The sequence below is a fragment of the Homo sapiens genome, chromosome 2, assembly GCF_000001405.40.
Source record: "Homo sapiens chromosome 2, GRCh38.p14 Primary Assembly".
Taxonomy (NCBI): Eukaryota; Metazoa; Chordata; class Mammalia; order Primates; family Hominidae; genus Homo; species Homo sapiens.
Window position 1 is genome coordinate 73,761,159 of NC_000002.12, and position 27,454 is coordinate 73,788,612.

The 27,454-nt window shown below is 41.2% G+C and overlaps 2 protein-coding genes across 3 annotated transcripts in view, besides 3 other annotated features; one reads left to right on the plus strand and one right to left on the minus strand.

The window, feature by feature from the left end:
• Nucleotides 1-1,054: 1,054 nt before the first annotated feature.
• Nucleotides 1,055-18,991, minus strand: DUSP11 (dual specificity phosphatase 11). Of its 2 annotated transcripts, none has more exons than NM_001424649.1 (9): nt 18,716-18,991; nt 17,143-17,218; nt 13,755-13,886; nt 12,642-12,765; nt 8,107-8,167; nt 6,003-6,049; nt 5,670-5,745; nt 5,260-5,436; nt 1,055-1,701 (listed from the first exon to the last, which is right to left on the minus strand). In NM_001424649.1, the coding sequence occupies exons 1-9, from the start codon at nt 18,955-18,957 to the stop codon at nt 1,503-1,505; spliced, it is 1,134 nt and encodes a 377-aa protein (NP_001411578.1). In that variant the 5' UTR covers nt 18,958-18,991; the 3' UTR covers nt 1,055-1,502. The 2 variants fall into 2 exon arrangements, with proteins under 2 accessions (NP_001411578.1, NP_003575.3); NM_003584.3 differs by having other exon boundaries at nt 18,716-18,945.
• Nucleotides 18,437-18,586: an enhancer, noted in NCBI's record as "active region_16032". NCBI's record gives its function as "activates an Ori minimal core promoter by ATAC-STARR-seq in GM12878 lymphoblastoid cells {active_cell/tissue: GM12878}" and the evidence as "EXISTENCE:reporter gene assay evidence [ECO:0000049][PMID:35858748]".
• Nucleotides 18,717-18,766: an enhancer, noted in NCBI's record as "active region_16033". NCBI's record gives its function as "activates an Ori minimal core promoter by ATAC-STARR-seq in GM12878 lymphoblastoid cells {active_cell/tissue: GM12878}" and the evidence as "EXISTENCE:reporter gene assay evidence [ECO:0000049][PMID:35858748]".
• Nucleotides 18,847-18,916: an enhancer, noted in NCBI's record as "active region_16034". NCBI's record gives its function as "activates an Ori minimal core promoter by ATAC-STARR-seq in GM12878 lymphoblastoid cells {active_cell/tissue: GM12878}" and the evidence as "EXISTENCE:reporter gene assay evidence [ECO:0000049][PMID:35858748]".
• Nucleotides 23,025-27,454, plus strand: part of C2orf78 (chromosome 2 open reading frame 78) — a 32,966-nt gene continuing 28,536 nt past the window's right edge. The window contains exon 1 of the mRNA NM_001080474.3: nt 23,025-23,248. Within this exon, the coding sequence (NP_001073943.1) occupies nt 23,152-23,248 (97 nt within the window). The 5' untranslated portion in view covers nt 23,025-23,151. The remainder of the gene's footprint in view (nt 23,249-27,454) is intronic.

Sequence of the window (27,454 nt, forward strand, 5' to 3'; positions counted from 1 at the left end):
ACTTTGGGAGGCCAAGGCAGGAGGATCGCTTGAGCTCAGGAGTTCAAGACCAACCTGGGCAACAAAGTGAGACCTTATCTCTATCAAAAATTTAAAAATAAATTAATTAAAATAATTTAAAAATGAAGCCAGGTTGCTCAAGTATTCATCAAGTATTTACTGAGGCTTACTATGTGTTATGATGATGAGACACTTCTTTGAGCCATCAAAGGTTTCTGGCTTCCTCTGCAACTAAAAATAATTACCCTCCCCAATGAAGGGTCTGTGTGTTCCACAGGTATAGCAGCAGAAGAGACAACTTGGAAAAAGTGAAGGTAGGCCAGGCACAGTGGCTCATGGCTATAATCCTAACACTTTGGGAGGCTGAGGTGAGTGGATTCGCTTGAGCTAAGGAGTTTGAGACCAGCCTGGGCAACATGGCAAAACCTGGTCTCTATTAAAAAAAATACAAAAAATTGGCCAGGCATTGTAGTCCACACCTGTAGTCTCAGCTACTAGGGAGGCTGAGGTGGGAGGATCACTTCAGCCAGGAGGCAGAGGCTGCAGTGAGCCTAGATGGCACCACTGCACTCCAGCCTGGGTGACAGAGCAAGACCCTGTCTCAAAAAAAAAAAAAAAAAAAAAGGTAAGCCACAACTCCACTTAAGAGGAGAGGCAACTGGAGAAAGATCCCAGGAGGTTATATTCAACAACGGAGCAATAACACAGTAGTCTTGCTAGACATCCACAGCCTTTAAATGGACATATTCTACTCTGTTTATCACCTTTATAAAAGTTTTCAAGTTTTCTGGATAGTTCTACTCAGTTGATGGCAATTACCCTGCCAGGTAACTTACTCACTATAATTGAATAAACCAGCAATCTGGTTTATCAGTCAGTCTCTCTTGCTCAATTGACAATCCCTAAAAGTTCATCCATTCCTGTGTGAGACCGTATATCTGACAATTCAGTCAAAGGAAGTTGGTCAAATCCCACAACTGACTGCCAAAGAAAGTAATATCTAATCACAAAAATACCACAATTAATTACAGGTAGTAACTAGGTTCTAAAGAAATTATCTCCTAAGTAGATTTTAATATAAATTTTGAACAGTTATAGAAAATAAAGATGGCCTTTGGGTCAATAACAGAACATAACAAAAACACTAAAAATTTCTGTACATAAACACACGCATATCACAAGTCTAGTCAGAAAGAAATACATAGAAAAACAAGATAGAATTTTAAAAATAATTTGCAAGGGAAGTTCTCAATGCTTCAGTTCTAAAATATTGTCTTCTTTTAGAAAAATTTAAGACTGGAATAACAGATTGTTTTTCCTGCAATGCTGTAATTACTGCAAATTTATCAGCAAAGAGGTAAACAGCAATGCAATTTTTCCTTAAGCTTGAATACATAAGGGAACAATAAAGAAACCTGATTAGACCTGAACTAATTAAAAGTCACACCAGTAATTTTCAGGCCAGCTCTGGTCTCCAGGTAGAATTCCAGGACAGGTTTGTATCACTGGGTCCATTCCCAACAGGCTGGATAGGAGAGTCTGGAGTAATTATAAGGATACCACCTTCTTCTATCCTGGGCTGCCCGACTGGCATTGGGCTTCACATTCCAAGAATACCTCCTGTGTGAATAGTCCTCTCCAGGGGGACCAGGAGGAGGGAGATGGTGTCTCTGGTAAACATGTGGATTCTCTGAAAATTTTCTTAAAGCAAAACAAAAAGTAATAAGCCATTACTAGGATTAATACAATAATTTTTATTTATTTTAAATTTATATTTTCATAAAATATTTTAAATTTATAAATTTACAAAATAATATATATTCTACTGTTTCCTACCTGTGTGACCTAAGCAGATAAAATACTTAATTGTTATTTCCCTAAGTTCTTTATAAAATGGGGCTAATAATACTTTTCACCTTCACGAGCTGTTATGAAGCTAAATTAAAAAAATACATTTCAATTACCTACAATGCCCTGGCACACCGTGGATTCCCAGAAGCCTTTCCACCTTTCCCTACAGAGATAAATGCATGCCCATACTATTCTAATCAAATACTTTCTCTCCCAAAGTCTGGCAGGGTTGACATAAGACAGAATAAGCTAGTTAGTACTGAGAACAGATATCTGCTTCCACTTTATAAACGAACATACATAAATTAATTATGAAGTGTGAAAAACTTTAAGCATGGTATATGCAACAAATTTGAAAAATTAGGATTTAAATTAACTTGTTTCAAAAGCAAGACCAGAAAATCTCATATAATTATACAAAAGAAAATTTGGGGCTGGGCGTGGTGGCTCGCACTTGTAATCCCAGCACTTTGGGAGGCCAAGGCGGGCGGATCACCTGAAGTCGGGAGTTCAAGACCAGCCTGACTAACATGGAGAAACCCCATCTCTATTAAAAATACAAAGTTAGCCAGGTGTGGTGGTGGGAGCCTGTAATCCCAGCTACTGGGGAGGCTGAGGCAGGAGAATCATTTGAAACCGGGAGGTGGAGGTTGCGGTGAGCTGAGATCACACCATTACACTCCAGCCCGGGCAACAAGAGCAAAACTCCATCTTACAAAAAAAAATAAAGAAACTTTGGAAATATGAGAAAAGAAAAACCCCCCACTGCAGAGCCCTCAATCCCACTTACTATAATTCAATTAGTTAGTATTTCCTTTTGTTCTTTTCCCCAGCATCTTTTTCTGACTGTTGAATCACAGCCTATTAGTTTCACTTATCATAAATGAGCTAACACTTCCAATGGCTTTATAAAATGTTATAGTATGGATATAATTATTTAGCTACATTCTCCACTGTTAGAAATATAGCAGCTACAAGTTTTTCCACAACCACAAATAATGCTGGGATTAACACTGCAAAACATATACTACTGTATCCTGAGCTAGCCCAGCATCTGACACATGGAAGGGAGTTTGAGAAATGTGCTGAATGATTAAGTAAATATAGCTTTTTCTGTACTTTGAAGTATTTCCTTAAGTCTCAGAATGAAATTACTAGGTAAAGTATTTTTATGGCTCTTGAAATTGTGCTTCAAAAGGCTTATACCAATTTTCAATGCCGCAAGTGACATGTTTTTTGAAATGTTTGTTTACATCTTTTAAAAATGTCAATTTTTTTAAAGTTTCTTTTTTCTTTTTTTAATAAAAACAGGATTCCAGCATGTTGCCCAGGGTGGTCTCAAATTCCTGGGCCCAAGCAGTCCTCCCACCTTGGCCTCCCTAAGTGCTGGGATTACAGGTGTGAGCCAATGCACCTGGCCTAAAAATGGCAATGTATTTTTGAAAGTGTTTACAACGTGCTAAACTGTTTAAATTCATGTTAACTGTCAATAACAACCACTATGGGGTATGTATTATTAAAATATCTATCTGACTAATGGGAAAAATGAAATGTAGATAGGCTAAGTATCTTATCCAAGATCACAAAGCAGGTGAGTAACAAAGCCAACATGCAAATCCAGGTCCAGCCTGACAACCACTACAATGGAGTGCTTATCAAAAACTGTTGCTAAACTGGCTGGGCGAGGTGGTTCATGCCTGTAATCCCAGCACTTTGGGAGGCCGAGGCAGGCAGATCACCTGAGGTCAGGAGTTCAAGACCAGCCTGGCCAACATGGTGAAACCCCCATCTCTACTAAAATACAAAAGTTAGCTGGGCGTGGTGGCAGTGCCTGTAATCCCAGCTACTCGGGAGGCTGAAGCAGGAGAACTGCTTGAACCTGGGAGGTGGAGGTTGCAGTGAGCCAAGACTGCACCACTGCACTCCAGTCTGGGCGACAGGGTGAGACTCTGTCACCAAAAAAAAAGCAAACAAAACTGTTGCTAAATTAATAGGCAAGAATAATAGCTTGCTATTTGTGATAGTTAATTTTAGGTGTCAAGTTGACTGGGTTAAGAGATATCTAGATAGCTGGTAAAGTATTATTTCTGGGAGTGTCTGTGAGGGTGTGTCCAAAGGATACTGGTGTGTGAGTGGGTGGACTGAGTGGGAGGATCCACCCTCAGTTTGCGTAGGTACCATCCAATAGGCTGGGGGCCTGGATACAACAAAAAGGCAGAGGAAAGGCAAATTGTGTTCTCTCCTGGAGCTGGAATACCTTACCTTCTTCTCCTACTCTTGGACATTAGAACTCCAGGCTTCATGGCCTCTGGACTTGAGGACTCATACCAGTGTCCTCCAACCCTTACCAGATTCCCAGGCCTTCAGCCTTGGATTGAGAGTTACTCCACTGGCTTCCGTGGTTCTGAGGCTTTCTGAGTTGGACTGAATGCTACCAGCTTCCCTGGTTCTCCAGTTTGCAGACAGCCTACTATGAAACTTCTCAGCTTTCACAAGTGCATAAGCTGATACCCCGAATAAAAAAGCTCCTCCTCCCATCCACCCACCCATCCACCCATCCATCTATCCATCCATCCATCCATCCATCCATCCATCCATCCTACTGGTTCTATCATTCTGGAGAACTCATACTAATGTACCACTTTAACCATACTGAGGTCTTCCCCATTTTCCAAGTGAAAATACTTTTGTCGTTTTATCTGTTCAGATCCTTTGCTATTTCTCTATTAGGATTTTATTATTTTTCTTATAATTCATATCAACTCCTTAAATAACAATCTTCCTTATTCTAAAAACTATACTACATTAATGTAGCCTAAGAATATAAGATCCTTTTTGATAGCCACATCAAACTCTTGGCTTAAGTTTAAAATCAATCAAAATTTCTAAGTCCCTTTCCGAATTGCCTCTGAAAAGTCACATATTCCCTGTCCTGTAACTGATTTTCCAGTGCTAAATGCAAAATACAGAGCAGAATAATATCTCCTGGTTCAAACTGAACAGCAAGAATTCCTTATCGGCCAGGCGCGGTGGCTCACGCCTATAATCCCAGCACTTTGGGAGGCTGAGGCGGGTAGATCACAGGGTCAGGAGATCAAGACCATCCTGTCTAACATGGTGAAACCCCATCTCTACTAAAAATACAAAAAATTAGCTGGGCATGGTGGCGGGTGCCTGTAGTCCCAGCTACTCAGGAGGCTGAGGCAGGAGAATTGCTTGAACCTGGGAGGTGGAGGTTGCAGTGAGCCGAGATCGCGCCATTGTACTCCAGCCTGGATGACAGAGCGAGACTCTGTCTCCAAAAAAAAAAAAAACGAAGAATTCCTCATCAGTATCATAATGTGTTTTCATTAACTATAGTATTAATTTCTATCTCAATTCTAGAAAAGGGAAAACAGAGAGAGGTACCTGACTGATTGTTGCAAACTTTGGGTCTGGGTGTGGAAATGTCGAGGAGCTGAGTGACCCTGGATCTGATGTAGATTATACCTAGGTCCTTGTTTAACAGGCTTATTGTGGACTGGTTGCATGAGATGTGCTGAGTCTTCAAAATCACTTGACCTGGGTACACTGGAATTCCAATTCCTTAAAGAGAATATTTTCCACACAATATTACTGGTTTCCAAATTTAGTAGTCAATTTAGTGACTATATTTTGGCATATGAAAATAACAATTTCTTCCTTCTCCCATTCCTATTTGTTTACATCTCCCCCCAACAAACAAACAAGCTACCAGAAGAATGAACATATGCAACTTAAATTACATAAACAGAGATCTCCCTGACCCACAAATCTCACATATATAACATAAGACTTACTTTCTGATAGGACCATTCTGAAGGTCTTCAATGTAGTTTTGTCTTTCTAAGCAATGTCCCCGGCACCTATTGAATACTGAGGAGAGGATAAACTGTTAGAAATAACTGTACAAAAAGCAGATCTTTCCAGAAAAAGCAAATTAAGCTGAAATTCACTATTCAAGCTGTTATATCTCACTACTTCCACATACATCTATAGACTTTTGGCAAGACTATCTTATATTGGAACAAACGAATTACAAACTTCTTTTTTTCCAAAATTTGATAAATTCTTCTACATTTCCACCTTTAACTTTAATAAAAGGGAAAAATAGTGTCAACCCTCATACTTACATTCAATTGCATCATCTGGCCTCACGCCTTCTACATCAATCAAATATCTAACAAAACAACATAATTTGGGTCATTTATATACGAAAAGAAAAAAATCAAGTTTTTTCAAAAAAGGTCCAATTTCAACTTATAGACATAGATATAAAAATCCTAAGAAAATATCAGCACATCAAATCCAGCAGTTATTAAAGAATGACATACCATGACCACAAAAAGACGTTTTTCAAGAATGCAAGGATGACCCAACTCCAGAAAATCTATTTATATATTTATTTACATTAATGTAATTTAATAAACAAAAGGAAAGAAAATGCAGAATCATTTTTTATCAAAATGCTTTATACACTAAAAATAGAGACTTCCTTAATATGACAGAGTATTTATCAGAAACCAACAATGAACAAAAGACAAATTGGGAAAAATATTAACATTATATCTAAAAAATACTGTATAACCAACAGAATGGGCCAGAAACTTGGGAGTCACCATCACTGTCAGCCATTTCTTCCAAACTCTCATATTCAATTCACCACCAACTCCTGACAACAATATTACCTAAATATCTCTATAGAGTATATCTGTATCTTTCTACCAAAATGACCACCATGCCCTGGTCCAATCCACCATTATGCCTCAGTTCCTACAAACACCTCCCAACTTGTCTCCTTGCTTCTACCTCTTTCCCTCTGCAGTGTATTCTCCACTCAGCAGCAAAATGATAGGTTGAAAATACAAATTTGAATGTGTTCCCCACACTCATCCCCAACAAAAAAAATTCAATGGTTTTCTATTGCTCTTAAGGTAGTGACTAAAACCTTAAACATAGCTCTGCATGGTTTCAGCTCCTATTCATATTTCCAGCTCCATTTTAACGCCATACTACCCCCATGGCCCAGTCTCCCTAGCCAGTTCCTCCAACACAGTATATATTTTCCTGTTAATATGGTCTCTGCTGATCCTTACGTTCAGAATTCTCTCCACAACATCCCTACCTGGTTAACACCTACTTATACTTCAGATATTTGCTCAGACCTCCCCACAGAAACCTCTAGTCCTCTTGTTGAAGTCAAATCCTCCCTATTCTATGCTCTCATTGTACCATGTCACTCCCCTTCTCAGCACTTGTTGGAATTGTAATTGTATAGGCATTTGTGTGATTCTTTAATATCTACTCCCTCCCTAGACTGTTAGGACGCACAAAGGGCAGCTAAAGTCTCTTTGCTAACACGCAGCACACTGCTTACACATAATAGATGCTCAGGAGATATTTTCTGAATGAACAAACATAACTCAGTACAGTGTGGCAACATCCATAAAAAGCATAACGACACATACTATTTGATTAAGAAATTCTATTTTGAGTGAAATTACCTCCGGGGCTATGAGATATGCATTCAAAAATATTTACATAGAAATGTTCACTACTTCAATGTTTTATAATATCAAAAACTTCTGACTTTTGTGTTCATCGGTGTGCAAAGAACAACGCAGGCCTTAAAAAGAATAAGGAGTCTGGCCAGGCGCGGTGGCTCACTCCTGTAATACCAGCACTTTGGGAGGCCGAGGCGGGTGGATCACAAGGTCAGGAGATCAAGACCATCCTGGCTAACACGGTGAAACCACATCTCTACTAAAAATACAAAAAATTAGCCGGGCGTGGTGGCGGGCACCTGTAGTCCCAGCTACTTGGGAGGCTGAGGCAGGAGAACGGCGTGAACCTGGGAAGCAGAACTTGGAGTGAGTCGAGATGGTGCCACTGCACTCCAGCCTGGGTGACAGAGCAAGACTCCGTCTCAATAAAAAAAAAAAAAAAAAGAATAAGGAGTCCAAGTATTTTCAAAGAAAGATGTCTATCACATATTAAATTAAAAAACAGAATGTCTAACTATTATACCATTCAATAACATGTATGCTTGTATCTGCATTTTTAGAGTCTGAAAAGATGTGTACTAAATTATTAATGGTGGTAATCTCTGGGTGGGGAGCAAGACTGCCTTCTACTTCATGTATTTCTATACCAGTTCCATTTTTTACAACCTTACATTACCATTGTAAACAGACAAAAACAATTTAAAATGGTCTGCCTCTGGGGTTGGCAACTTACCTGCAAATGAGGTAGCCAGTCCTGTTTAAACCATGGGTACAGTGGACACCAATAAGTTTATCTATAAAAAGAAAATACAGGGTTAAGTAACTGAAGTAGATACACAAGTATATAACATTATCACTGCCCTGAAAATGAATAACTCTTAAGAGGAATTGTTTTTTCTAGGAACATACTATAAAGAATCATCTAACAGAAAGCCAAAACTCACTGCTTCTGGGAAACTTTGCATAGTCCCAATTAGACTCAGTGATGTAAACTGCAAGCCTGGTCAGACACTAACAGCTAAAACTGCAATGAGACAAACCCGTCTATCTTAAAACAGAATGCCCATCAGCAACTGATTTAATTATACAAAAAGGGAGTGAAAGCAACAACAGGCTAAGAGAAGAATGAAATTTGTTTCTGAATCAAACAAATAAAAGGCCTTCACTCTTGATACTGAATATTAAGGACAGTTTCCATAGTACTCTTGAGTTCCCGAAGAGCTTCTATTCCTTCTCTTGTTCGGTGCTCCACACATACCACAGGTCTACCTGCCCTGTGAAGTACTCAGGTAAATAGCACTATTCACATTTTACAATGAAAAGGCAAGGCTTGGAGATGTAAGTCAAAGCAGGCAAATAGTACAAGACTAGAATCAAGTCTAAGATTTTTCCCATTACACCACAGTATTTCTTAGTCCATCTTTTTAAAAAATTACATGAGGAATTAAATAAAAAAAAGTGTAGTTTATCTTTGCAAAATCTGTGTCCATGACTAGGTAGTGTCTGGTAAAGAAGGCACTCATCAGCCAGGTGTGGTGGCTCACGCCTGTAATCCCAGCACTTTCCAACCTGGCCAACATGGCGAAACCACGTCTCTACTAAAAGTACAAAAAATTAGCTGGGTATTGTGGCGGGAGCCTATAATCCCAGCTACTCAAAAAAAAAAAAAAGAAAGAAAGAAAAGAAAAAAAGAAGGCACTCTGCCGGGCATGGTGGCTCACGCCTGTAATCCCAGCCCTTTGGGAGGCGGAGGTGGGTGGATCATCTGAGGTCAGGAGTTCGAGACCAGCCTGGCCAATATGGTGAAACCCCATCTCTACTAAAAATACAAAAACTAGCCAGGTGTGGTGGTGGGTGCCTGTAATCCCAGCTACTCGGGAGGCTGAGGCAGCAGAATTGCTTGAACCCAGGAGACGGAGGTTGCAGTGTGCCAAAATGGTGCCACTGCGCTCCAGCTTTGGCGACAGAGTGAGACTCCATCTCAAAAAAAAAAAAAAGAAAGAAAAAAGAAGGCACTCATCATCGCCAGCCTGGATTACTACAACAAACTAATCTCCCTACTTCTATCTCAACTGATCCTCCATATGGCAGATGTTATCTTTCTAAAACATAAGCCTGGCTGGGTTGTTTTTGCTTAAAAATCTCAATTTAGCATAGCATGAAGCCCAAATTTAGCATGGCATTTAGAATCCTTCATAAACTGGTATCAATCTGTCTTTCCAACCGATCTAAGTCCACAATGATCCTAACTATGATTTACAAGGGCTGATATGATCCACCTCCCTTCTGCCCAGCCCCAACCTCTCTGATCCCGTTTCTCCTGCTCTTACCCTCACTCACTCCACTCCAGCCACACTCGGCTCTGTAACATTCCTCAAACATGCCTAGCATAGTCATGCCTCAGGGACTTTGCACCTGCTGTTCCCTCTGCCTTAGGACATTCCTCCCCAGACACCCAATGGCTTGGTTCATTACTTCCTTTAAGGTTCTGCTCAAATGACATCTTCATAAAGAGGCCTTCCTGATCACTCACCTCTTCCCTCATCCCTTTATCATGTTTTGTTATTCTCCAAAGCACTTATCACCATATATATTCCATGTATTTATTTGCTTATTTCTCTCCCCGACTAGAATGTAAAGTATATAAGGGCAAGGACTTTGTTCTATTTCCACTTTCTAGAAAAGTGACTTCAACATAGGTTATATAATTATTTGTTGCAAATGAACATATGAATTCCATGCCTTTTCACATTATCTTCTAGTCACACAAGAGGCTGCCTCTCCATGGCTTTAGGCCCTGTGCCTTTTGTGCCTAATCCCCAAAACTGGGCTGCCCTTTTCTCATACTGGCAAAATTCTCATCCCTGCAGCTCGAATGTTGTCTCCTGTCAGGCCTTCCTCAATCTCTCCTCTATATTCTCACTGCACTTAATTTATTCTTTTATTATGATGAACTGTCTTTTTTGTTCTTTTTTTTTTTGAGATGGAGTCTCGCTCTGTCGCCCAGGCTGGAGTGCAGTGGCGCAATCTCGGCTCACTGCAAGTTCCGCCTCCCAGGTTCACGCCATTCCCCTGCCTCAGCCTCCCGAGTAGCTGGGACTACAGGCGCCCGCCACCATGCCTGGGTTATTTTTTTTTTTTTTTGTATTTTTAGTAGAGATGGGGTTTCACCATGTTAGTCAGGATGGTCTCGATCTCCTGACCTCATGATCTGCCCACCTCGGCCTCCTAAAGTGCCGGGATTACAGGCATGAGCCATCGCGCCCGGCTTTTTTGTTCTATAATTAACCCACATCTTTTTTTTTTTGAGACAGGGTCTTGCTCTGTCCCCCAGGCTGGAGTGCAGTGGCGCCATCTCCGCTCACTGAAAGCTCCGCCTCCCGGGTTCACGCCATTCTCCTGCCTCAGCCCCCCGAGTAGCTTGGACTACAGATGCCTGCCACCACGCCTGGCTAATTTTTTGTATTTTTAGTAGAGATGGGGTTTCACCGTGTTAGCCAGGATGGTCTCGATCTCCTGACCTCGTGATCCGCCCACCTCGGCCTCCCAAAGTGCTGGGATTACAGGCATGAGCCACCGCGCCCAGCCTAACCCACATCTTAAACCACATGCACTACATATTTATTTTCCTAGATAACTGTGAACTGCTATAACAAAAAACAAAGACTGCTATCATCTCTGTGTCTTCATGCTCTAACAACAAATCTAAAAGGATCTCAGTGTTTACTGAATCAATTTATTTTCTCAGTCCCTACTAGTTCTAGAAGCGAGTGGAGAGTGTAGTGTCCTCTTTTTATCAGTGAGCCTGTTATCTGTGGGAAGGGATTATAGCAGAGGTAGCCAAAACTGATTATAAACAAGGTCCCAAGCCTGCTATGGCAGTGAGTACTGCAAGACTTAGACAGTCAGCACCACTCAGGCAGAAGACCAACATGGAGTTCAGTCTATCCAACTGACTACAATCAGTATAACGTGAACAACTAAGATTTAAAAATGTGTTCTCATGTATTCATAAGGACCTCCTAGCCCTCACAGAACAGATGAAGTGCTATATAAAAATTTCACAGAAAAGAGCCTGGAAGCAGTGAATAGGCCATCAGCTGTACCCTCATATCTTAAAAGGTAGTATTTCTGTGACAACAGCTTATACAAATGGGAAAGCCAAACCTCTCAAGTTTTAAAGTTAAAGTACAGGGGAAGATCTGTGAACAAGGTTTAACATAATTAAAAGCTAGTGTCCACATTAAGTGAGCGACTAGGTTACAATTTGAAATTTTATCTTCAAACCCACTGATCCAGTCTCTATCTCTCACCTTCCATTCCCTATCTTCCCACCTCTGTCTCTATTCTTTCTCCACTACTCCATCACATTTTTTAAAAAGGAGTATTTACTGTCAGATTTATGTAACAAAGTGTACACTCCTCAAGCTAAATTTGGAAAGAAGGCAAATGAAGCCTCTGTCCTGTGGGTGTCAGTGGCTTTCCAAAGATAAAAGCTTCTTCAGTCTTAAAATATGACAAATATCATGTTCTTTCTGGCAGAGAGATGCCAGAAAAAGGCAACTGGATCCTTAAGATAAAGAAGCTGTTAAGTTCTATTTTCAAAAGAGTAAGGTAAATCTTAAAGCAGGAACAAGAAAGCACCAGCCTTTGGCTTAAGTTCTCCCATGTGAAGAATAAGAGGTGGTGGTATCCTTCCCCATCTGTACTCAAAGCGGAAAAACAGCAGAAATATCTTTTTTTTAATTATACTTTAAGTTTTAGGGTACATGTGCACAACGTGCAGGTTTGTTACATATGTATACATGTGTCTTAAATACATATGACAAAGGGGCAATTCCACTGGTGCACTCTTTCTTGTTTTGCTTCTAGGGGTCCGTCCCATTCTTAATCTTTGCCCTTTCTTGTCTCTTTCACATAACTCTAAGACTCAGAGTTTTTTAATCTTTTCTTCTACTTCTCACTTCTTAACCAATATAGAAGACAAAAATAACATTTTAATTTTATATATTTCTCATTCAAATTAAAAAAGAAAGATGAGCCAGTTCAGTTCATATTTTGCACTAAAACTAATTTAACATTCCAAAGTTAAATTATTTGTGATCAACAAAAGGAAAAACATCTTACCCTATTAGCACCATCTGACATTTTCATCACCTTAGCATCATTAAATACAACAGGTCTGAGGTTGGAACTATAAAAAAATACCAAAAATCCCCAACCCCATTCATAATGCACACCACAGTTCAGGTAAGAACAAAAACTCACCATTATCTTTATTTTCTTTCAAAAACCCATTAACAGCGTGTTTGAATTTAAAAATAGTCTCATCATCAGGCACTTGATGTCCAACTGTAAAAATTTTTAAGTAAGGAACAGTTTCTGGCAAATCCTATAAAGCAAAACCATAAAAGATGTGTATTATTTCACTTGTAGAGAAATAATTAAAGAGTAATTAGGGGACCCAGAATATAAGCCAAGAGATTATAACAAACTTAATATGCCAATATCAGTATACACAATTCTGATAAAAGAGCCATTTTTTCCAACACTGCTTCAACCAGGAAGTATCACTTGATTTTCAATAAAACTACATAATAGATAGTCACTAGGTATACAAAACTGAAAGCAAATTCCATGTGAATGAATGCATATTTAACTATAAATTATATAAACAGTTCCATTTAATATTTTATAATTCAAGGGCCAGTGCCTTCATAAAGCAGCTATGATTTAAGTAGAAGAGTAGAGAATAGAGTCAGAAGAACTTGGATTTGAATTGTGAGATAGAGGGAATTCCAGGCACTATTGAGAACCGATATTCTTGGGGTGGGAGAAAAGTAGATACAGATAAAAGACAGAAGAGGCTAAGTCAAAATCATTTTAACCATCCACAAGTGTATAGTTCAGTGGCATTACATTCACAGTATTGTGTAACCATCACCACTGTCTATACCCAAAACTTTTTCATCATCCCCGACAAAAAGACTCTGACCACTAAACCATAATTCCCTTTTCTCCCCACCTCATAGATCCTTTAGTCTGCTTTCTGTCTCTGTGAATTTGTCTATTCTAGGTACTTCATACAAGTGGAATCATATATTTGTCCTTCTGTGTCTGGTTTATTTCACTAAGCATGTTTTTAAGGTTCATCCATATTGTAGCACGTATTAAATCTATTCTTTTTTATGGCTGAATAATATTCCATTTAAGACAGCAATTAAAAACATGTAATTAGAGAAATCACTTGGTTCTCTTTTAAACTTACTACCCATCAAAGAAGGCCAAGCTTCACATTAGCACAAGATGATTACTGAATTACTATAAATTATTTTAGGATCAGAAGGAAGAAAGTTCTTTTCATTGAAGGGTTCCACTTACCTCTGGTTTATAATAGCGTTGAGTATATGTTAAATCAATAATCAGTCCAAGTTCTTCATTTTGTTCTCGGATTTTGTTAAAAAGATCCAAAGGGGAAAAGCATTCTTCTGGAGCAAGTTTCTTTTCAAAACTCTGTCACAGAGAATGAAATAAGAGCAAATATGTGCTTAAAATCCTGTACTACATTAGGCATTTATTCAAGTCCTGTGATGCTAACATACAACGAGATTCAAAGGAAAGTTTCCATTCTCCTGGAACATAGAAGGTATATTACAACAATCCTTTCTTCCAGAGTGGTCAGAAAGAAAAAAATAAGCCCACTTCTATATATGTATTTCTGTATTTGTTTCATGTTGGTCTCCTAATCAGACTGTAATCTCCCAGATTTTATTCACCACTGTATCTCCAGCTCCAGGTGGAGTGCTTATCATATTTAGTGCTTATAAATATTTCTTTTCTTTTTTTTTTTTTTTTTTTGAAACAGGGTGTTGCTCTGTCATCCGTCATCCAGGCTGGAGTGCAGTGACACAAACATGGCTCACTGCAGCCTCCACCTCCTGGGCTCAAGCAATACTCCCACCTCAACCTCACAAGTAGCTGGGACTACAGGCATGAACCACCACACCTGGCCTTTTTTTTTTTTTTTTAAAGAGATAGGGTCAGCTGGGCGCAGTGGTTCACACCTGTAATCCCAGCACTTTGGGAGGCCAAGGCGGGAGGATCACAAGGTCAGGAGATCGAGACCATCCTGGCTAACACTGTGAAACCCCGTCTCTACTAAAAATACAAAAAATTAGCCAGGGGTGGTGGCAGGCGCCTGTAGTCCCAGCTACCGGGAGGCTGAGGCAGGAGAATGGCGTGAACCCGGGAGGCAGAGCTTGCAGTGAGCCGAGATCACACCACTGCACTCCAGCCTGGGTGACAGAGTGACTCCATCTCAAAAAAAAAATTTAAAAAAAAAAAAAAAAAAAAAAAAGAGATAGGGTCTTGCCGTCTTGCCATGTAGCCCAGGCTGATCTCAAACTCCTGAGCTCAAGCAACCCTCCTGTCTCGGCCTCACAAATAAATATTTCTCACATGTCTACATATATGAAGGATGGCTTTCATTGCTGAATATTCTTTTATGTATGTGGCTTATTTTTGAACTTTATGCTCTGTTCCTTCAATCTGTCTGGCTACTCAGGTGCCAGCAATGTACTTTTTAAAAAATAGACTAGTTTGGCTGGGTGCGGTGGCTCAAGCCTGTAATCCCAGCACTTTGGGAGGCCGAGGCAGGAGGATCACGAGGTCAGGAGATCGAGACCATCCTGGCTAACACGGTGAAACCCCATCTCTACTAAAAACACAAAAAAATTAGCCAGGCGTGGTGGCAGGCGCCGGTAGTTCCAGCTACTCAGGAGGCAGAGGCAGGAGAATGGCGTGAACCCAGGAGGCAGAGCTTGCAGTGAACCAAGATCACACCACTGCACTCCAGCCTGGGCGACAAGCGAGACACCATCTCAAAAAAAAAAAAAAAAAAATAGACTAGTTTTCAGAGCAGTTTTAGGTTCACAGCAAAACTGAGCCAAAAGGACAGATAGTTCCCACATGTACTTTGCCTTCCCCAACCCACCCAGACTCCCCCACTATCCACATTCCATACCAGTGTGGTCCATTTGTTACAAATGAAGAACCAACTCTGACACATCGTTATCACCAAAGTCTAGAGGTTAGGTATGCGTGATTCATTCTATGTTATGCATTGTATGTACATATTATGTTATATATATTTTGCCACAAAAAAAATGAGAGAAAGAACTAAGTTCAAGTTTTGATTCTTCCTTTTCTGAGCCTGTTTGATTATCTACAAAATTATTTATTAGATGTAACCATCTATTCTCTGAGCTTAGTGCAGAATAAGCACTCAGTAAGAGATATTAGTACTACTGCTACTTCATCAGCACAGGATTGTTGTGAAATGTGTTAATATACGTGAAGCCCTTTTATAGGTTTTGATCAATATATAACATGTATCCACCCTTAGAGTATCACACAGAATAGTTTCACTTCCCTAAAAATTCCCTGTGTCTCCAACACCTTCTTTTTGGAGACAGGGTCTTGCTCTGTTGCCCAGGCTGGAGTACAGTGGCATGATCATGGCTCACTGCAGCCTTGACCTCCTGGGTTCAATCGATCCTCCCACTTCAGCCTCCTGAGCAGCTGAGACTACAAGCACACGCCACCGCGCCTGGTTAATTTTTGTATTTTTTGTAGAGACACGGTTTCAGTGTTGCCCAGGCTGGTCTAAAACTCCTGGACTCAAGCGATACACCCACCTTGCCTCCCAAAGTACTGGATTACAAACATGATCCAACAGGCCTGGCCTGAAATGACTCATTTTTAAGCCCAGACATGCAGAGAAGCTGACACAGCAGTTGAAAAAGGAAATCTGATCTATAAGTCACAAATTAAGTAAATTCCCAAAACGTTTCAAGTAGGCTTCTCCTGATACTAATCTGAGCTATGCTGGGGAAGTCTAATAAGAAAGACATGGAATCTAGAAAACAATTATTTGTCTTCACCTTCTCATCTTTTTTATGGCTGTCAAAAGCTTTCCCCTCCTATCCCTCCTATTCCTTTCCTAGTTTAAACAAAAATACAATCTTCAGATTTTCCCCACTGAAATCCTGACCTTGATGATCCGGGGGATATTTCTGATTGTGACCATGGAAGGAAAGGAGTCCCACTGGCATTCAGTGGGTAAGGGTTACAAATTCTAAACAACTTGCCAAATTCAGGACAGTCCTACAAATGTGTCCCACATCCTGAATGGCTTTTGGATGTCCTATTCAAGATTAATATAGATAAAAAGCTGTTCATATTTAGCTTGGCCTCAGAACCTAACTCCATTTCACAAATAAACACAAAGTATTTTTTGTACAATACTAATATATATTGAATTTTCCAGGATAATAATCACCTTATCAACCAAATGAAGATTATACTTTGTTATATTTGGAAATCTATTACAGAAACTCCTACCACTAAAGCAATACAACCCACCTAGATCAGTCTACATTTGTAATTCTTGAATTCATGGCGCAGGCAACTATTACTCTATGTCTTTTAATGTAGTCATGTCCAAACATTTATATATTGAAATAAATATTATTTTATTATAAATTACTTTTATTTTATTTTTTATATTATAGTTAGGGTGTTAATTGGTATTTTTGTTTAAAATATGAAGTAGGTTGTATGTACCTATGAACTTCATTTCAGGATAGTAAAGGGGTCATTACAAAGTATTTGCTATAAAAAGAGAAAATGGAATGTGATAGAGTGGAGAGCAGTGTTCTGCATGGTGAACTCAGATGCCTGAAAGAATACTGAATTAACTTTTGCTTACCTTTTGCAAAGGAACTTTGAAAGCAATGAAACGAGTCCCAGGCATCCGCTGTCCAACTGGGAGATAGTCTTTCCACCTATTAGATATATTTTTTGTTAGCCAAATTGTATGTTAGCCTTGTTTCCTTGCACAAAATAAGACTTTTTGAAAATGGGAATCATAGCCCGCACAACATGTCCTCTCTCCTCTCTGCTTTGCATTTCGCCACTCCACTTATTAAACCCCACCAAGTAACGACCTATACCGTCCTTCTCTCCTGTTTCCCCATCATAAAAACGAACACAAGCCAACACAACAGTACAACTCAAATAAGGCCTATATAAAACCGGAGATACCCAGAACTTCTGTATCCCTGTTAAACTTGGCCCAGTACCAGATACTAAAGTGCCATTAATACAAACATATTCACTGAAATAATTTAAATTCAATTATTTCACTTCACGCTTTTAGTTTTCATACGACTGATGCCATAAAGTTCAATTAGTAGGAAACTTCAAGTTCATATTTTAAGAGAAAACCTGCTAGAAGAGGGACTGTGAACTTCACTTAATAATGCTAGGAACTGGCCGGGCGCGGTGGCTCACGTCTGTTAATCCCGGCAATTTGGGAGGCTGAGGCAGGTGGATCACCTGAGGTCAGGAGTTCGAGACCAGCCTGACCCACATGGTGAAACCCCATCTCTACTAAAAATACAAAAAAAATTAGCCGGGTGTGGTGGCGGGCGCCTGTAATCCCAGCAACTTGGGCGGCTGAGGGAGGAGAATCGCTTGAATCCGGGAGGCGGAGGTTGCAGTGAGCCGAGATTGGACCATTGCACTCCAGCCTGGCGGAGAAGAGCAAAAATCCATCCCAAAAACAAAAACAAAAAAACGGATTGGAAGAAAACAAACAGGAGATTCACTAATTAGAACCCCACTGCAATAAGTCAGGCAAGACCTGTATTAGGGTACTGACAGAAAGTGACAGTCAAAAGATAGTAGATAAAATGAAGAGGATTTATTGAGGTATGAGATGGTGGAGGATGGTCTCAAGGAGTAAAAACAGTTCAATGCACCTACGTGCAAAGTCTCAAAATTAATCATTTGTACGTATAAAGGAGTTATCTTTCAAATGAGGCCTGTTAGGAAGTAACAAAGTATGCTCTTTGTGATTTCTGGAAACAATACAAACCAACTTTCCATGTGAGATCTCAGGGCGCTACTACTGCTGGGTTCCTAACTCAAACCATTACACTTTCCGTGCCAACGTAACAAGGAATTGAGGAGGTTCCATTTTGGGAATTAAGGAGTGTCCCCAACAGTAACAGTCCCACCTTAAAGCAATCCTTCCGTATTTTACCTAAGAGCAATGGCCAGAACCTCCCTTTTACAAGAATATGGAGAAATCACAGGACATCACAGACATCGCCCCTTTCAGCTACAGCGGGTGGCGCAGAGGGTCAAAGCCTCAAAGCAAGCGGCGGACAAGTCAAGCTTGCGATGGCAACGGCGAGAGGCAGAGACCACAAACGATGAAGCCCAGACCCAGAAGCCACGAGCTGGAAAGGCCACGCCAAGGGACCAAGACATACTACCTTTCGGGGATGTGGTTTCCGCCCTTCTTCTTGGCTGAGGAGCGTCCTGAAAAGTCGCGTCTCCGGCCCCAGCCACTGCGGGGATGATGCCACTGGCTCATGTGGGTCCCAAGAAGCCGCCCACCCAATGCCAAGTCGGCCAAAAGCGCCAGTCCGGCGCCCTCAATGCCAGGATAAGACCCTAAACAGGAAAAGACTCGGCAGCCACCTACGCCGCGCTCCAGCGTCTCGCTATTGCGCATGTGCCACCGCCGGTCGTGATGGCGTAGCCACGCTGGCTTACTGAGACTCCTGATCTGTAAACAGGACTTTGGTGGCTACAGCGCCCTCTTTAGCCAGAGGCCAGTAGCACAGGTCAATAAGGGCGTGTATGCACCCTTCAGAATTCAAACAGTGAGGCACAGGGAAGTCCCTCTGCCCGATCCGCCCCACGCCCCGGTTCCTTGTGTGTTCTTCTAGATATTTACCAGCGCTTACATTCACATTTTGCATATTTTGTATACATATTTACTTTCACATATATGTATATCCTCTATTTTTATACAAAAGGAGTAACTGTACATATTCTACAGTATACCTTAAACACTGATTATCCCAGTCAATTTATGCATACATAGATTCTATTTTTAATGGCTATAGGCAATTTACTTGCTTATGAGTAACATAATTAAAAGTACCATAACGTATTTAGCCAGTTCAATATTAATGGACCTTTAGTTGTTTTCAGGTTCTTTTCAAATCTTGTTACAGACAATGCTGCAATGTGAACATCCTTATACATATATACAACTATATCTAAATTCCTAGAAGTAGAATGTCTGGAATGAAACACATACAAACTTAAAATTTGGAAAGATACTACCTAATTACCCTCCAAAAATAATGTAGAAACATACACTCCCATCAAAGCCAAACTTTTATTGGGTTCCTATCACATACCAGGTATCATGCTAGAGGTGGACAGAATGTATTTAAGTTTTAGCAAATACAAAAAATAACTGAGAGTGGAGCTCAAGTCCAAGGTTTCCACACAGTCTCAAGCATAAAGATCTGTACCCGTTAGAAAAACGTTCAATTCTGCTAAAAGTGGAACTACAAAGGACAGCATACCCTATAGCAGCTTTGAAAATAGAATAGAGTACTAAATTCCAGATTAAACTGTAAGTAATTATGATTGCAGACTTTTTTTTTTTTTTTTTGAGACCCAGTCTCACTCTGCCACCAGGCTGGAGTGCAGTGGTGCCATCTCAGCTCACTGCAACCTCCGCCTCCCGGGTTCAAGCAATTCTCCCTGCCTCAACCTCCTGAGTAGCTGGGACTACAGGTGCATGCCACGACTCCCAGCCAATTTTTTGTATTTTAGTAGAGACAGGGTTTCTCCATGTTGGCCAGGATGGTCTCGATGTCTTGACCTCATGATCAGCACTCCTCGACCTCCGAAAGTGCTGGGATTACAGGCTTGAGCCACCGCACCTGGCCAATGGCAGATTTTTGAAAGTAATTTTTACTTCTTAGTTTCTAATTTATGAAAGTAACTTACATATATTTTTAGTAATCTTTGCAACCATTTCAGAGCTGGGTAAACCAAGGATAAGAAAGGTCAGAGCTATTGAATAAATGAATATTAATAAAGCTAGACTGCTAGCTTTATTAACATTTTTGAGACAGTACTTTTCCAACCAGTTTTAAATACATAAACATTTACAATTCTGAAAATTTCCACATCATTAAAAATGTGTCAATATTCATAAATTGTTCATTGGAAAAAGAAAAAGACAGGATAGCAGAACATAACAAACCTACAATTAGGAACATTTAATTATTTGTTGTTGTTGTTGTTGAGATGGAGTCTCTCTCTGTCACCCAGGCTAGAGTGCAGTGGCGCGATCTCAGCTCACTGCAACCTCTGCCTCCTGGGTTCAAGCAATTCTCCTGCCTCAGCCTCTTGAGTAGCTGCGACTACAGGCGTGTGCCACCATGCCCGGCTAATTTTTGTATTTTTAGTAAAGACAAGGTTTCACCAAGTTGGCCAGGCTGGTCTTGAACTCCTGACCTCAAGTCATCTGCTCTCTTCGGCCTCCCAAAGTGCTGGGATGACAGGCGTGAGCCCCTGCGCCCAGCCCACATTCAAATTTGACATTAAATTGTAAAATATTGTGGCCGGGCATGGTGGCTCATGCCTGTAATTCCAGCACTTTGGGAGGCCGAGGCGGGCAGGTCACTTGAGGTCAGGAGTTAGAGATCAACCTGGCCAACATGGTAAAATCCTATCTCTACTAAAAATACAGAAATTAGCTGGGCGTGGTGGCTCATACCTGTAGTCCAGGGTACTTGGGAGGCTGAGGCAGGAGAATGGCTTGAACATGGGAGGCGGAGGTTGCAGTGAGCCAAGATTGTGCCATTGCACTCCAGCCTGGGCAACAGAGCGAGACTCTGTATCACGAAATAAATAAATAAATAATACAATGTTTTTCTGAAATGCATGAAAAATTCCAATAGGTGTATAGTAGCCCAAAACTACAAATGTTACAAATGTCTATAGACATGACAAGATACAAAACGTGACATAAATCTTTCAGAAGCTAGAAAAGCTGTATTGGGCTTACACTTTCAATTTGCTAAAAGACACAACATTGGGGTGAGAACAAACTCAGTTATAGTTGACACAAGAAAATCCAGACCTAGGCGGAATAGGGTTCCTAGAAAGTAACCAGACATACTAATGAATAACATAAATGAGGTAATATGACATAAAACATAATGGAAAAAGAATATTATGATTATTTTCTTCAGTGTACAGAAGTAATGGAAGTTCTGGACTAGCTACATAAAAAATATTAAATTCTATGTTCTATTAATACAAAATAAGTGTGTCGAATTGTTTGTCACATAAACCAAAAAATCCACACAAATCTCTTTTTCCCTGTACCCTCAACTTGCCTGTTTCCTATTCTCCACTAAATGCTTAAATTCTTCATTTTGCCTAGCCCTTGCACCCAAGCATGGCTGACAGGATATCCCAAAGGCCCAAGATTCTATAGTGGCTGTTTGCAAGAGAGAGGAGGCTAAAAGTAACTGCCATACTGGATCCCCTTATGTGAGAAGAAAGAAAGTATCCTGAATGCTTCTCACGTATAAAAGAGCAGGATGGCAGGGTGTCTGTGTGGCCCAAGGAGCCAGAGGTAGCAAACCATGGGCAAAAGAAATGTGACCAAAGGCTAGAAGAGGGAAGGTCTGCAGTCAGCCTTGTCTTCTACCTCTCTGGTGTTTGCTTCTCATAAGCAGAGTCCGTATTCCAAACATCCGGACACTGAAAAGAAGACTCCTGCTCTGGAAGTTGACAAGAAGGAATATCCACAAATGTAAAAATGCAAGATCAAGGCTTGGCCCAGAAACGATGCCTAAAATCAAGGGGTTAAAAAAAGGAGAGCAGAAGAGAGATCCAAGTCCAACCTGGCCCAGCCCAAAGAAGGTAGGATTCAAGGAGAAGAAACTAAAAGAGAAGAGCCTTGGACCACATCCTTTCCTACAATGGGCAGTCAACGAACTTTGCCGTTCAACCAAGTTACAAAAGAAGGCTCTTTAATCCCTTCTTTGGCCCTTAAAAGCGGCAGCAGGGCCGGGCGCCGTGGCTCCCGCCTGTAATCCCAGCACTTTGGGAGGCAGGGGAAGACCGATCACGAGGTCAGGTGATCGAGATCATCCTGGCTAACAGGGTGAAACCCCGTCTCTACCAAAAATACAAAAAATTAGCCAGGCGAAGTGGCAGGACTCAGGAGGCTGAGTCAGGAGAATGGCATGAACCTGGGAGGTGGAGCTTGCAGTGAGCCGAGGTCACGCCACTGCACTCCAGCCTGGGCGACAGAGCCAGACTCCATCTCACAAAAAATACAATAAAATTAAAAAGCAGCAGTAAATTCATTAATCAGATTCACTGAAATAGTTTTAGAACAACTGTAATTGCTCAACTTAAACATCCCTTTCCTTTCTCCCCAAGGATATTGTGTATGTACTATATAATTATAAATGCATACTATTACATATTATGAAATGTAACATATAAAATATAAATGTTAGTTAATTATATTAGTGAACATTTATGAGAAACATTGAGATGATCTCCCTAACATGAGAGCCTGGGGGAAAGTGGGACTATCATGTCTGTCTTGCAGATTTCACCTCCCCAGAGCTCAGCCACTTAGTGCTGTTACACCTTTCCTACCACCTCTGCCAGCCAATCCTGTCTTGTGGGGAATCTGACCTCCCTATTGGCTATCGCAGACCTTTAAACTGCCTGCTTTGTGACATCATTCTCCCACCAAACCGACCACCACCTGGTAGCATCTTGGGGTTTCCTGGGCGTGGCCTGTAAATTTGTATCATCACAAGGGGCCAGTGACCAGTAACCAGTGACCAGTGGCCTTCATACTGGACACATGCACTGGTTGGCTTCAGCCACCCAGACATCCGCTAGTATCGTCTCTTCTTCCCTTCTATCTGCAGTTGATGTTTCTTCTTCTCTGACCATGTCAGGTAAAGAGAGAAACTTTTTAAAAAGGTTTTCATGAGATTTCTTTGCCACTAAATTTAGATTTCTTTCCCCCTATATTCCCAAACAGCTTGGAATAACAGGGAAAGTATTGAAGTAGAAATCCAGAGACCTCATTTCAGTTTTGGCTTTGACATTTACTAGCTGTGTGACTTTAGATAACTTTTATTCTCTCACAAAATCTGTTTCCTCATCTATTACACTAGGATAATAGACTGGTTATTCCCCCTGGCCCTTTTCTTTTCTAATACTGAGTCTTAAAGGGTATACGTATAGAAAATGAAATCAGAGACTTTCTGAGAGTGTTCATTTCAACAGAAACAGAGAAAAAACCAAAGTGGTCTAGAAAACTAGCAATATATTCTGAGATGTTTCATGTGTAATAGCCTCCCTCCACTAATATTTCAACTTTCGTATTTTAAATTTAGTGATGTTTAGTGATGTTTTAAATAATATTCAGCCAGGCACGGTGGCTCACACCTGTAATCTCAGCACTTTGGGAGGCCATCTCCCTCACTAATATTTCAACTTTCCTATTTTAAATTTAGTGATGTTTACTGATGTGTAGTGATGTTTTTAATATTCAGTTGGGCGTGGTAGCTCATGCCTGCAATGTCAATGCTTTGGGAGCCTGAGGTGGGAGGATCGCTTTGGGCCTAGGAGTTCCCGGCCAGTCTGGGCAACATGGCAAGACCCCATCTCTACAAAAACTTTTTAAGACTCAGCCAGGGTTGGGTGTATGCCAGCTACGCAGGAGGCTGAGGTGGGAGGATCAGAGGACTGCTTGAGCCCAGGAGGCTGAGACTGCAGTGAGCCATGTTCATACCACTGGACTTCAGCCTGGGTGACAAAGTGAGACCCTGTCACAAACAAACAAACAAACAAACAAACAAAAAAGAAAAGTAGTATTCACGTTTTGGACATTCCTATCTAAACTAGGTGGAAAGAGAAAATGGAGAGTACTGGGTTCTAAGGAGGCAGGTATTCTAGGGTAAGTAATTTGGTATTTTAATTTAAGCAGAAAGACATGGTCCCCTACTTTTCCCCTTGGGATATGCCCTGGAGAATGACAAAATGATTTTAAAAGAAAAAAATATATTTTAAATTTGAAAAAAAAAAGCAGAAGGACAACAGAGTGAAATGTATTCAGAGTAGGGCAAAATGAAGTTGATTTTAGCAAATGCTTAGATCAATGGACGAGGAAGGAAACAGGCTACATTACATATCCCTAGGAAAAGCAGCTTATCAGAAGTCATATTCAGTCACTTTTTTCTGTTGCCTTTTTGAACATAGATGACACTTGACAGTTTGTAATATAAACATTTTGGAAATATGTTTTAGAGGCCAGGCTCGGTGGCTTACACCTGTAATCCCAGCACTTTGGGAGGCCGAGGTGGGCTGATCACCTGAGGTCAGGAGTGTGAGACAAGCCTGACCAACAAGGAGAAACCCCACCTCTACTAAAAATACCAAATTAGCCGGGCATGGTGGCACATGCGTGTAATCCCAGCTACTTGGGAGGCTGAGGCAGGACAATCACTTGAACCCGAGAGGCAAAGGTTGTGGTGAGCCAAGATCGCGCCATTGCACTCCAGCCTGGGCAATAAGAGGGAAACTCCGCTTCAAAAAGAAAAAAAAAGAAAGAGAGAAATATGTTTTAGAAATGAGGCTTCCAGGCAGGGTGCGGTGGCTCACACCTGTAATCACAGCACTTTGCAAGGCTGACGCAGGCGGATTGCCTGAGGTCAGAAGTTGGAGACCAGCCTAGGCAACATGGTGAAACCCCATTTCTCCTGAAAATATAAGAATTAGCTGGGTGTGGTGGCGTGCACCTGTAATCCTCCTACTTGGGAGGCTCAGGCATCAGAATTGCTTGAACCAGGGAGGCGCATGATGCAGTGAGCCGAGATCGTGCCACTGCCCTCCAGCCTAGGCGACAGAGCGAGACTCCATCTAAAAACAAACAAACAAATAAACAAACAAATGATCAATGCAGGTATCTCTAAAAGCTTACCACCAAGGAAAATGATTATATCCATAGATTTCCTCCCCCAAACCAGCTTAGTCCACACGTAAATCATTAGCAACTCAGCCCTAACTCATTTTATCACAGTTACAAGAGAAGTTAGTGAGAAAAGCACTAACTAGGAAAATGAAAACCAAGGCAATCCAAGTCAACTTGGGCTCACTGCAGACATCTGTTCCTTATGCTTGGGCACACAGCACAACTCACAACAGTGCCTTTTTCACAGACCCCTCTTTAATTTCCTCCACAAAACCCATCAGGTCACCATAGTTCATGATGTTTCAAAATAAACAACCATCATGAGAAAAACATGCAGTATGTCTTACAATCTTGTATTCCTTAAAAATATGACAAGGAAAAAACATGTAGAAAAACCAGAGGATTTAAAAGCAATCTACAGGCCACGCACGGTGGCTCACACCTGTAATCCCAGCACTTTGCGAGGCTGAGGCAGGAAGATCAACCGAGGTCAGGAGTTTGAGACCAGCCTGGACAACATGGTGAAACCTTGTCCTTAATAAAAATACAAAAATTAGCCAGGGATAGTGGCGGCACCCGTTATCCCAGCCACTTGGGAGGCTGAGGCAGGAGAATCACTTGGACCAAGGAGGCAGAGGTTGCAGTGAGCCAAGACCGTGCCACTGCACTCCAGCCTGGGCAAAAGAGTGAAATTCTGTCTCACTCTTATAAATAAAATAAAGTTAATAAAACAAAAGCAATTTACATTCTACAGACATACTAATGAATGACATAAATGAGGTAATACGGTATAAAACAAAATGGAAAAAATACATTATGATTATTTTCTTCAGTGTACAGAAGTCATGGAAGTTCTGGACTATCTAGCTACATAAAAAATATTGGGCCAGGCGCAGTGGCACACGCCTGTAATCCCAGCACTTTGGGAGGCTGAGGTGGGCAGATCCCAAGGTCAGGAGACCATCCTGGCTGACACGGTGAAACCCCGTCTCTACAAAAAAATACAAAAAATTAGCCGGGCATGGTGGCGAGTACCTGTAATCCCAGCTACTCGGGAGGCTGAGGCACGAGAATGGTGTGAACCTGGGAGGCAGAGCTTGAAGCTAGCAGAGATCGGCCACTGCCCTCCAGCCTGGGTGACAGAGAGAGACTCTGTCTCAAAAAAAAAAAAAAAAAGAATTGTCTATTTTGTTAATACAAAATAGGTATGTTGAATTGTTTGTCACAGAAACCAAAAAATCCACATAAATCTCTTTTTTCCTGTACCCTCACCTTGCCTGTTTCCTATTCTCCACTAAATGCTTCAACTCTTCATTTTGCCTGGCCCTTGCACCCAAGCATGGCTGACAGAAAATCCTAAAGGCCCAAGATTCTATAGTGGCTGTTTGCAAGGGAGACGAGGCTATAAGTAACTGCCACACTGGATCCTCTTATGTGAGAAGAAAGAAAGTATCCAGAATGCCTCTCACATATAAAAGAGCAGGATGGCAGGGTGTCTGTGTGGCCCAAGGAGCCAGAGGTAGCAAACTGTGGGCAAAAGAATTGTGACCAAAGGCTAGAAGAGAGAAGGTCTGCAGTCAGCCTTGTCTTCTACCTCTCTGCTGTTTGCTTCTCATGAGGAGAGTCCGTTTTCCACACATCGGGACACTGAAAAGAAGACTCCTGCTCTGGAAGTTGACAAGAAGGAATATTCACGAATGTAAAAATGCAAGATCAAGGCTTGGCCCAGAAACAATGCCTAAAATCAAGGGGTTAAAAAAGGGAGAGCAGAAGAGAGATCCAAGTCCAACCTGGCCCAGCCCAAAGAAGGTGGAATTCAAGGAGAAGAAACTAAAAGAGAAGAGCCTTGGACCACATCATTTCCTACAAGGGGCAGTCAACGAACTTTGCTGTTCAAGTTACGAAAGGGGGTTCTTTAATCCCTTCCTCTGGCCATTAAAAGCGGCAGTGGGGCCAGGCGCGGTGGCTCCCGCCTGTAATCCCAGCACTCTGGGAGGCAGATGCGGGCGGATCACGAGGTCAGGTGATCGAGACCATCCTGGCTAACAGGGTGAAACCCTGTCCCTACTAAAAATACAAAAAATTAGCCGGCTGAAGTGGCAGGCGCCTGTAGTCCCAGCTACTCAGGAGGCTGAGGCAGTAGAATAGCGTGAACCTGGGAGGTGGTGCTTGCAGTGAGCCAAGA